This window comes from Homo sapiens, chromosome 18 (assembly GCF_000001405.40).
Source record: "Homo sapiens chromosome 18, GRCh38.p14 Primary Assembly".
Lineage (NCBI taxonomy): Eukaryota > Metazoa > Chordata > Mammalia > Primates > Hominidae > Homo > Homo sapiens.
Genome location: NC_000018.10, coordinates 922,239 through 934,659, shown reverse-complemented (window position 1 = coordinate 934,659; position 12,421 = coordinate 922,239). Strand labels below are relative to the sequence as shown.

At 42.0% G+C, this 12,421-nt stretch overlaps 1 long non-coding RNA gene across 1 annotated transcript; it reads left to right on the top strand.

Annotated features, from left to right (window-relative positions):
* The first annotated feature begins 6,666 nt into the window (after positions 1-6,666).
* On the top strand, positions 6,667-8,577 carry LINC01904 (long intergenic non-protein coding RNA 1904). The gene is made up of 2 exons (NR_146724.1): positions 6,667-6,726; positions 7,777-8,577. It is a non-coding gene; the product is annotated as a long intergenic non-protein coding RNA 1904 (long non-coding RNA).
* Positions 8,578-12,421: the final 3,844 nt, after the last annotated feature.

Genomic DNA, 12,421 nt, shown 5'->3' with positions numbered 1-12,421 from the left:
CCCTGTGGCTCCACATGGGGCTCAGACACGTGCACAGCCTACCTAGGCCTGACCCACAATCCAGGCACAAAAAAGCTTGTGGGACACAAAGCCAAGAGCCCTTTGTAAAGTCTGAATCTCTGGTTCTAATTCAAAGGGAAAATGACAAAGCCCCTCTTCCAGCCTCCCTCACAGCAGTCGTGTTTTTTCCCATTCAATGTGGACATTCAGTGTGTCCTATTATAAGCCAGGCCCTCTCTATAATTATCACATTGAGTCATTTCAACACCTTTTGAAGTAAGTACAACTATCCCCACTTTTCACCAGGAAAAATTATGCTCAAAGAGATTAAATAATGTGTCCAGGGGCCACGCTCAGTGGCTCATGCCTATAATCCCAGCACTTTGGGAGGCTGAGGAGGGAGGATCCCTTGAGGCCAGGAGTATGAGACCAGCCTGGACAACATAGTGAGACCCACTCTCTACAAAAAAAAAAAAAAAAAAAAAAAAAAAAAGGTTAATTAGCCAGGCATGGGAGGGTGCACCTGTAATCCCAGCAACTCAGGGGCTGAGGTGGGAACATCACTTGACCCCAGGAGTTGGAGATAACAGTGAGCTGTGACCGCACCACTGCACTCCAGCCTGGGTGAAAGAGTGAGACCCTGTCTCAAGAAAACTAAATAAATAACGTGGCCTGGTTCATATAGCCATTACATAGAAAATCTAATCTTCAAATTTACTTAGGTAAATAGAGGAAGGAGCCTGTCCCTACAGTTGATCACAGTCTGGGAGTAGGAGGGAGAGGCTGAGCTGTCCACTCACTGACTCCTGACACACTGATCCTTGGTGACCTAGCAGCTTGATCTCTGCCCTCATGTAGCTGACACACTGAGGCAACTGAGACCACAGACAAGTAAACAAAAATACGTAGAATTACAAGTCATGGTAAGTGTTGTTAAGGAAATGGTGCCCTAAGAAAGAATTGTGTCCTCATTGTTATTAGAAATCCTGTCCTCTGGATCCTCTCCCTTGCAGGACAAATGCAGAGCCCTGATTCACAGGCCTCTGAGGATGTGTCAGGAGCAGCTCTGCACAGAGACTAAGAACATGAACTTCCTCTCAGTCCACCACTTAAGACCCAGCTCTGCCACTACCTAATTGAATGACCTGGAAGAAGCTACTTAAAACTTTATGGGCTTCAGCAAATGAAGAAATATGTGCCAAGCACTTAGCTGAACCTGTCATATAACATAAATATGAGCTTCAATTATATTATCATTGTCATTACTTCCCTCCCACACCCGAAAGTCCTCCCAGATGTTGTCTGTGATGGCAATGGGAAATAGTGGCCTCTAGAGATTGTGGAACTAAAGCTATGGAGAGTCAGCTTATCTGAATGAAAACATCCACTTCCCAGCTCCTTTCCCTCACATGTGATCTGCAGGCTGATGCAGCAGAGGCTGTCCATGACCCTCTCATTTGTCTTCAAATCCCATTACCGTTTTCATGCTCACTAGCTCCCAGTGCACTTTGATTCCCAGTTGCAAGCATTTGTGTCTCCTTTGTCAATCCACTTTGCTGCCTGCAGAAATTGTCACAAATGCCTGGGAATCTATGTCAGAGGTTGTGAGGGGTGGAAGGAGACCCCTTAACCTATGACTGACAGGTGCAGAGTGAAAACTGCTCCGCTGGGCAACCCAAAAGAGTCGAACTCCAGGTGTTCCTCTTTGTAGGACTTTACTTCACACTGTGCCCTTGCTTGGCTTCGCTCCCTTCCAAGTCACACTTCCTAAAACCTTACAAGGGACACTTCCTAATAAGTACATCATCTTCCAAGAATCCTTTTTCCAGGGTCTGCGTCTGGGGAGCCAACCTAAGATAGGCTGGTGTTAACTGGCCCAAGGACTGACATTAAAAGCTTGGTTAGAAATAAACACTTGGTGGAGAAATGTTCCAGTCTTAGCAAGGCTTGACACACATAGCATTAGTATTCTCTGAGACTTTGAGAGGGAGCAATAGGCATTTTGTTTTTCTGTATGAAAGATGGAGAACAACTAGAGTTGGAAAGTGTAAACACAGTGATACATTTTGGGATAAGATGAGCCTCCTGGGACGCAAACACTCCTGAATTAGAGTCATCAGACTTTCCATTGTTGCTTGTTCCAAAATGAAATGTTCCCCAAACAATATTCAGAATGTGCAAGAACAAGCAAGGCTTTCTGAGGTGCTCAAAATAACAAAGAAACTGTAACCTTTTCAGTGAGATACAACTAAAAGTATAAGTAAAATTTCATCATTGAGTGTTTAATGGAATTCTTTTTTTATAATTGTATTGCACTTTTCATTTATTTATTTTAAAGACAAGATCTTGCTCTGTCACCCAGGCTGGAGTGCAGTGGCACTATCATAGCTCACTGCAGCCTCAAATTCTTGGGCTCAAGTGATCCTCTCCACTCAGCCTTCTGAGTAGGTAGGACTACATGCACATGCCTTCCAATCAGCTAATTAAATTTTTTTTGAAGAGACAGAGTCTCAAACTCTTGGCCTCAGTTGATCCTCCCGCCTCAGCCTCCCAAAGCTCTGGTATTCTAGATAGAGGAATTCTATCTAAGAGAATCTGTTTATCTTTAGAGCAGTAATTATTTGTAGATATAACTTATAGACACATAATAATAGGATCCACTCGTTCAGGATGGCTTTCAATTAGATTAAAATGTGTCCAGAAGTCTGGGTGACATAATGAGACCCTATCTCTAAAAAAAGTAAAAAATACAAACTTAGCTGGGGATGGTGGTACATGCCTGTAGTCCTATCTACTCAGGAGGCTGAGGTGGGAGGATTGCCTGAGCTCAGGAATTTGAGGCTGCAGTGAGCTATGATCATGCCACTGCACTCCAGCCTGGGTGACAGAGCAAGCCCCCATATCTGAAAAGAAAAGTACCTAGGTTTTTATTTAAGAATAAAAAATAAGGCTGTTCTAATTAGAGATGGTTTTGAGCCCAGCCTCCTTATCATGACTTTAGCTATATAGCCTTAGATACGAAATTTCTGATATTAGGGTCATAGCACTCAGAGCTTAAAGTTAATCCAGCCCAATTTTTTCTTTCTAGTCTTCTACATTTCCAGTTTTTCCACAATAGGTATATGGGTATAGATAACATACACATTTACATATATGTATATATATGCAAATTTGTATCTACTTTAAGGGTGCATGTATATATGTATACGTAAATATACAAAGAAATTATTTTATAATTTAAAATTTCTAAATTGGGCCATGTTCAACTGTATGGATACTTAAAGAAATTTAAATTAGAATAATGTACATTTTATTTATATATTATCAAAGTTTTTTTAACTAATAAGATTTAGTACTGGCCAGACTCAGTGGCTCACACCTGTAATCCTACCACCTGGGGAGGCCAAGGCAGGAGGATAGTTTGAAGCCAGGAGTTTGAGAACAGCATGGGCAACATAGCAAGACCCAAGAGTTAGAGGCTGCAGTGAGCTATATGATTGCCCCATTGCACTCCAGCCTGGACAACAGAGCAAGACTTTGTCTCCAAAAACACCCAAAAAATTTAGTGCTGATGGTGGACATTTAAACTGATATACTCTTTTGAAAGCAATTTAGCAAGAACCTTTAAAAAGTTTATAATCCAGTAGTTCTATGCTTATAAAACTAAATTTTACAAATTCTTTGTGTACAAATGTGCACATTTTCATAATATTTAATAATAGATTTTTATTAAAGTATTATTCTCAGAGAAGTGCACATTCCATAAACCTACAGTTCAATAAATTGTCACAAACTGAATTCACCCATGTAACCGTCACCTAAATAAAGAAGGAGAATATTGTCAGCACCTCAGAATGTAATCGTTTTTAAAGTAGAAACAAATTAATGTTTAACAATAGAGAAAAATGTAAAGTGGGACAAACAGAGGAAATTTTAAGCAATTCAAGCAAAACCATCTAGAAATCCCAAAGGCAACAAGACAAAGAAGCAAATATGAAGATCCCCGTGGACCACAGTCCCAAACTTGCAAGAGAACCATGCCCCTGCCATTAAAAACCTATATTCTTAGAGGTGTAGTTGGTGCAATGGGAAACCATACCAAGTAGCCTTTATGAGAAACTCTCAGGAGAATCACAGAAGCAAAAGCACTGAGTATAAGTTGGGCTCAGTCACGCATCATGGGTCACATCATGCATCGTGGTTATGCAAAGGAGGTCTCAATTGATACGCTCCTTAAACCAAATGCTGAAATTGAATAGGCAATCACAGGGGGGAGAAGCAGATACGGGTGACATCCTCTGAATGAGGATGAAAAATATAGACATAATTATAAGTGCTTGAGTTGATGGATACCCTAATTACCCTGATTCGATCATTACAACATTGTATGCCTGTATCAACACATCACATGTACCCCATAAATGTATACAACTATTATGTACCCATAATAATAAAAAATAAAAAATTAAGAAAAAAATGGACGTAAATCCTCTGTGGCGAGAAACAAATGGAGTTCACCATTTTGAGTCACATGGTGAATATGAACATCGAGCCAGATTATAGTCAAAGACACTAATGAGAAAGCCAAGCTTAACCAGTCGACGTAACCAGCTATTGTCATCTGGTTGATGAATAAGCATCACTAAATCAAACCTTACCTTGAGGTTCAGATCAAGAGAAAGTGAAAGAGTTTCAGAGGTCAGAGCAAAGAAGCTTCTCAATGGATGAAAGATGATTCAGTGACATTCCGGCAAAGAAACCTAATACTCGGATTAGGGCTCTTGAAGTTAGAACTTTCTCACCCAATGGACCAGGCTTTAGCGGGAAAGACAGAACCAGGTAATAATATCAGTATAGACAGTCCAGGTTTCATGGAAGGCACGTCAAAGAGAAGAGTGAGTTCTGGAAGAAAGATATATCTCCAGGCCTTCCATGAGACCAACGTCAAGCCAAAATAATTACAATTGGGGGTTTCTCCAGCTGAACAAGGACAGAACTAGTTTATGTCTCCTCCTTAGACTATAACAGATTTACTCTTTCTTTTGATAAATAGTTATTAAGGCACTGCTAAGTACCAGTCACTGTGCTAAACACAGAGGATATGGTGGTGAGACAGATTAACACAGTCCCCGTCCTGAGGAGGCTACCACCTAAACTGTGATACCAGAGGCACATTTACCCGGAAGCTCAAGAAGCTGCCACTTCAGGCCCCATTTCAAGGCCTGCAGCTAATGTTTTATCATAATTTTGTATTCTTTTCTTTAAAAGGCTTCCCTCAGAAAAATGAGCAAACTTTGGATCCCACAAAACCTGTCCCCAACTCTGTTGATGAGTCCTGTGAAGAAGAGGTTTCCACGGTGGCACCTCTTATGTTGCTTTACACACACTTATTTATATCTGTCTTTCCCGAGAACCCTGAGCCCCTTCATGTTAGGGGTGTTTCTAGTTTTATCTTTGTGTCTCTGATGTTCAATGCACATTTTTTTAAATGAATTAATAAGTGGAGGATTTTTGTTAATGTTCAGTTCTCAACACGCTAAGCAACCAATGGTTTTTATGCTTTTGAATATCATTTGTTTCCTTTTTGCTTTCCTATAGTAAAGGTCCTTTTGAAAATTTCAATCTGACCAAGTGGAACAAGTAAGAAATTGTTGATTCTTACCCAGACCAGGGAGCCATAAAGAAAAGAGCCTCTTTGTTGCCAGGTAAGGTTATGGCAGCAGCGGTTGCAATTGAAAAATCAGTGAAGCTTGAAGTTGCTGAGTCGATTAGGAAAATGAAGTTATCGGAACAAATGGTCTCTTCAGACAAACAATTCTCCAATTTTAGCATGCTCACCTGGAAAGCTTGTTAAAACACAGATGGTTGGGACTCACCTCTAGATTTCTTAATGCAGTAGGCATCAGGTAGGAACCAGAAATCTTTATTTCTAATAAGGTCCCAGGTGATGCCGCTGGTCCAGGGACCACACTTTGCAAACTACTTTGCCCTGTACCACTGATGCACAATCTTAGCTGTATATTGGAATCACCTGGAGAGCTTTAAAAATACTTGTCTCTGGGTCCTCCCTCACCCTTGTATTCTAATTAATTGGCCTGGCTGCTAAGATTTATTTAAAGTTCCCCCAAGTAATTCCAGAGTGCAGTCAAGATTGCGAACCACTACCCTACGCCATGGTACATTAGACGCTTAGGTCATAAGTCTTGACCTACCCGTCACCTTAACAGAAGCAAGAGTATCTGAATCCTCATTTCTGGAAAATCTTAAGAATCAGAGAAGGATTTTTAACATCTTACATGGTTATGGCCTCCAGACACCTTCCCTCTGCCCCATCCACCCCACCTCCCTTGGAACAATTCCAGGTGGAGGCTTTGTGCATTTAAACAGCCCTAGCTATTAAAATCCAAAGAAGACTCATTTCGGCCTGGCTGCTCCGCACACACCTTGTTTGCAAGCGTTTGCACATACTAGTGGCTGCCCGGGATGGCTCTCCTACCCTGACTTCCATAAACCCCAGTCTGCTCCTCTCTGACACTGTCTAGATCCCAGCCTCTTTAATTTGGGTTAGTCCCTCCTCCTGGTTCCCACAGCGATTTTTATAACTTCATTTTTCTCTTCTTACCTCGTAATTACTTGTTTGCATTTCCATCTTTCTCACAGAAGAAAAACATGTGAGCTCCTTGAGGGTAATCCCTCTCTCCCTGGTAGCCCTAGTACTGCCTTCAGGTATTAAATGTTTTTGGTTTTGTCTTTGTTTTTGTTTTCTGAGACAGAGTCTCACTCCACCACCGCCACCTCTGCCTCCTGGATTCATGCGATTCTGCTGCCTCAGCCTCCCGAGTAGCTGGGACTACAGGCGTGAACCACTATGCCTGGGTAATTTTTTTGTATTTTTAGTAAACACGGGGTTTCACCATGTTAGCCAGGCTGGTCTCAAACTCCTGACCTCAAGTGATCTGCCCATCTTGGACTCCCCAGGTGCTAGGATTACAGGCGTGAGCCACCATGCCTGGCCTTAAATGTTTTTTGAATGCATGTCAAGTATTGTATTATTCAGATCATTAACTCCTCCCTTTGGGGCAAAAGAATTGACTCTTTTGTCCCTTTGGGGCAAGAGAATTTCTTACTTTTCCCAACTGTCTCTCCATTTCTATATGTAATTGCTGAAGGCCTTTGCCTTTATCAAAATTGAAAGGTAAAAAACTATCTGGTAAAATCTCATATCAGAAATTGCAAAACAACCAAAATAAGCCCAAACTATTTGAATGGAGTCTCAAAAGAAGAACCTGAAACAGAGAGTTATATAAAGTGAACTAATTAAGTAAGGAAAATGAGAATTTTACTATTGCATTACAAGTTCCTGGTTTTACCTAAGTGAATGATTAAAAAAAAAAAAACAGTGTGGAAGAGCAAAATGACTTAATGTTAAAAATCTAAGCCCCAGAAGATCCTAGCATCCCTTCTATTCTAAACATAGCTCAGCCACTGGCCCACCATGTGAATGAGTCACTGCTCTTCCCTGACTTAAATCATCCCTCTTATAAAACTTGTTAAAGAAAGACGTCACTGCAAATTAGATGTTGTAGCTAAGTTTAGCCATCCTCAGGACATAAATATTGTAACTTATGTGACTTCAATCATTTTTGTTTCATGATGACTTATATTTGGGCATGTGCTTGAATATGTGTTTATATACATAGTGCAGCTAAAGATATACCTTCTGCTTAGACATAGGTTTTATATATATATATAATGTATATATATATTTATTTATAGGCAGATATCCACAAAAGCACCTTGCACAGAAACATCTTTGAGCTATTTTAAGAGGCAGCATTATTTTACTGACAAATGTTCAGAATTGAGCTCTCTGACTTGCCCCCAGCCCAACCTCTATGGATTGACCATTCTCCTCAGAGAGACTGTGTATGCCTGTGCAGGCACACATGTTGAGGGGAAGACAGGAAGACCTACCCTCCCCCAGGCCCTGGCTTCTCTTCAGACAGTGCCATTCACACTGAGCCTCACAGGCAAGTACTGCCTGGTGTAACTTGGGGAGTGATGGGGCCTGCTGACCAGAATCACTCCTCCAAAAGCTTCACACACAAGCCTGAGTTTCCAGTCATCACCAGCAGCACCTTCAGTCTTTGAGAGCCTTCTTAATGAACACACATATTTTACCTGGATCAAGACACTGTGTTATCTGGCAAAGGTTGCCCATTTAAAATGAGTGACTGGAAAGGTTCGTTTATCTGGTCAACCCTCTACTGCCCCCCTATTGTCACCCCTTTGGGATTAGAATCCTGAAAGAATGATGAGAAGAAAGGCTACATATGGAGAGACCTGAGAAACCCCGAATCTTTCTTGAGAGGAGGAAATCAGACACCTGCACAGTCCAGCAGCCTGATCCCAGGAGCCAGGGAGCAGGGAGCAGAGGAGAGTTCCAGGGACCAGAAGCCAGGAAGTGGGATTAAAGGCTAACACTGGCCACACAAGACGGACCGCTGCACAGGAATTTACAGTTCACAGAGCACTTTTTCATCTCCTTAAAATCTCATAAAATCGCAGTGAATTGAGCATTGTTATTTTCATCCTTATTGTTATTTTCTCAGAAAACTTGAGTGGCTCATCTAAGTTCACTGAGCTAGTAGGCAGCAGAACTAGACTGTAAACCATGGTCTTCAAAATCCAGTGATTTGGTTTGTTTGTTGGTTTGTTGGTTTGTTGGTTCGTTGGTTTGTTTGTTTGTTGGTTGGTTGGTTGGTTGGTTGGTTGGTTGGTTGGTTGGTTAGTTAGCTGGTTGGTTGGTTGGTTGGTTGGTTGGTTGGTTGGTTGGTTGGTTGGTTTTTAGAGACAGAGTCTTGCTCTTTCACCCAGGCTGGAGTGCAGTATCATGATCATGGCTCACTGCAGCCTTGAACTCCTGGGTTCAAGAGATCCTCCCATCTCAGCCTCTTAAGTAGTTGGGATTACAGGCATGTGCCATGTGCCAACAAGGCCAGCTAAATTTTTTTATTTTTTGTAGAGATGGAGTCTCACTATGTTGCTCAGGCTGGTCTTGAACTCTTGGTCTCACATGATCCTCCCACCTCAGCCTCCCAAAGTGCTGGCATTACAAACATGAGCCACCATGGATGGCCTCAGTAAGTCTCTTTACCATATTTTTCCACCTGTGTGTGTCAGGACAACCAGTAGCTGTGCCAAATGATTCTGTCCCCTGCAATACACACGGATCATAGTTATATACCACTACTGAGTGTCCATTTACTGTGGCCACAACTGACCCAAGAGATCTAGCAGTAGTCAGCCAGGCTGCTCATATCAGGAAAACTGGTATACCCTGAAACATGGAACAAATGGCTAAAGGAGAAATTGGAGAGGGAGGCTAATATTAAGACAGGTAATCAAGGCATCCCAACCCTTCTAAATCAGGAGAGTACATTGCTGACATCTTCCTATGGGTGACAGCTGAGCTGAGACCACAGAAAATACGGTGTGGGTGAGGCCTCAAGGGTGCCTCCTGCCAGGAGGGGTTGAGGCCCAGCTGGCAAATATTTACTCAGTCTCAGCCTACACCTCAAATATCCAGTCCATGTGGTCATCTAGTCTGTCTGTAAATGGTGAAAAAGAGGCATTCTTCACTTTCCTTAAGAGACCTGTTCCTGTGTTCAGTACTCTTTCCTATTAAAAAGGTGTTCTTGGCCAGAGGCGGTGGCTCACACCTGTAATCCTAGCACTTTGGGAGGCCGAGGCTGGTGGACCGCCTAAGGTCAGGCCTTTGAGACCAGTCTGGCCAATGTGGTGAAATCTCATCTCTACTAAAAATACAAAAATTAGCTGGGCATGGTGGCTGGTGCCTTTAATCCCAGCTACTCGGGAGGCTGAGGAAGGAGAATCACTTGAACCCAGAGGGTGGAGGTTGCAGTGAGCTGAGACCACGCCACATCACTCCAGCCTGGGCAAAAGAGCAAAACTCCATTTAAAAAAAAAAAACTATTCTTTCGTGTCTGATTTAAATGTTTTCCATCCACTTGCTTAAGTCTGCTCAAAAAGGGATATCAGTGCCACTTAAACAATATATTTAATATTTTCACGCCTACGAATAACTCCTTCAGGTTTTTTTTTCTCTATTAAAGCAGCCCCAACTCCTTGGACATTTCCTAAGGCATAAGTCCCATTTTTCATGCCTTTAATCAATTCCATTGCTCATCTGTGGTCCCTTTCCAATTTTACCACATTCACCTTAAGATGTAAAGACCACAGCACAGTGTGCTGGATGCAATACTCTGAGGAACAGACCAATAAAAGGCTGGTTTCCCAGCTTCTGAAAGACCACACAATAAAAGCCAGGGTCATGTTCATGCCAAAATATCACTAATATATAACAGCCCCGCGTTGCTGATTCTTTCAGTGTGCACTCCATTGGCTGCCCACTTCCCTCGTGTATTTCTGCGGGCTGTGTTGAGTGCTCCTGCACATAACCTTGTACTGACCCTTCCTGAACAGCACTGCTGGAGAAGAGAGAGCCACAGGATTTCACAAGTTTAAAATGCGATAAGAGCAGCCACTTCTTATTATCACAGATGACTAGAGCATCACAAAAGTTTAGAACAAAAAGAATGCTCAATCTAGCACCACAACAAGAAAGGAGGAATTATATATACATATATATATACACACACACACAGACACACACACATATATTCACATATATGTGTGTGTGTGCAAGCGCGTGAGTGCATGCGCGTGCCAATGATGCCTCTATAAGTACAAATAGCCTAAGAACATTTGCAGGTGATTTATATGCTGAGGTCTGTCTGTATAAAGGCAAGCGTCATCCTCATTCACCAGCTCATAGGGTTGACAAGCAAAAAGACCAAGAGAAAGCCAGAACTACCTGGAGCTTGCTAGAAAATTTATCACAGCAGGAGCAGCAATCACTCAGCCAGTTTTCTCTCTTGTTTTTGCTTTCCACGTGCATATAAAATCAAGCTGCTTGCTCCTCACAAAGACAAACTACTGCTACCTGAACTTTCCATTTTTCCTCCCTGAAGCAAAACAAGATTGTGGAAGTGAAAGGCCCGGAAACATTCTAATCAAGAATGAGAACTAAAACCCAGCAACTAAGATTTAGGCAAAGAAAACAGATTCCAGAATCAGCACAGAGCCTGCTGCTGCTGCTGCTGCTTCTGTCTGCTGCTTCTGCTGCTGGAGGCATTGCTAACACACTCACCCAAGCCTTAGCTCTTAATAGAGACATGTTTGCAGCTGAATGCCCCAGGTCTCTCTCTGCCTGAAGGGGCCGAGGCCCTGCTGGCAAATATTTACTCAGTCTCAAAACATCCCTTCCAGAGTGATATTTTTATTTACTGTGCTGATGAAATACACCCCTTGGAGGCTGGTGAGGTAGCACCATGTGCCACTGACCCTTGCAGATCATCCATCACAGGGCCTGCGCCATCTCGCATAGTCCCAGAGTGAGTTTAGTTCTCTGGAAAGTTGGTTTAATGCCCAAATTGCAAGCTAGGTAACCTAAGGTGGACATTTTAATAGAGAGGAGTCTGTAAAACCATAAATCTGATTATATTCATTTAATAATTGAATTATATTGCCAAAAGGATGGACTACTATTTGTGAGATACAGACCTATTAAAAACACATGAAGATAAGAGATACCTGCATTTTCATGTCCATTGAAACGCTATTCACAATAGCCAAAATACGGAAACAACCATCTGTTGATATGCCCATCAACAGATCAATTGATAAAGAGTACGTGACATATACGTGCAATGAAATATTATTCAGCCATGAAAAAGAAGAAAATCATGTGCTAGAGCAGGGATGAGCCTTAAAGACATTATGATAAGTGAGATAAGCCAGACCCAAAAGGACAAATACCATGCGAGTCCACTTCTATGAGGTATCTAAAGTAGTCGAATCCACCAAAGCAGAAAGGACAGTGGTTGCCAGGGCCTGAGCGGATGGCAAAATGGGGAGGTGTTCAAAAGGTAGAAAGTTTCAGTTATGCAAGATGAAAAAGTTCTATAGATCTGCTGTACAACATTGCGCTTATAGTAAACAACACTGCACATACGGTACACTTAAAAATTTGTTGAGGGTAGATCTCATGTTATGTTTTTAAACACAAATTTTTAAACCTGATTATTCTCTACTGCATTGTAAATCGCAGACTGAATTGACTGTAAAATTATGTGCATGTCAAAAAAATATTACACACACGCAATGAGGATAGAGTAAGAACAAATGAAAACAGGGTTCTGGTGCAGACTCAGGCTGGGTCTGCTATGCTCAGCATCCCTAAATCTAGAACCAGAGCCAGCTTCATGGGTGTATGAACCATACGCTATGCTCAGAACAGGCACACACTTGGTTTAATACTCTGCTGTTGCTATCTAGA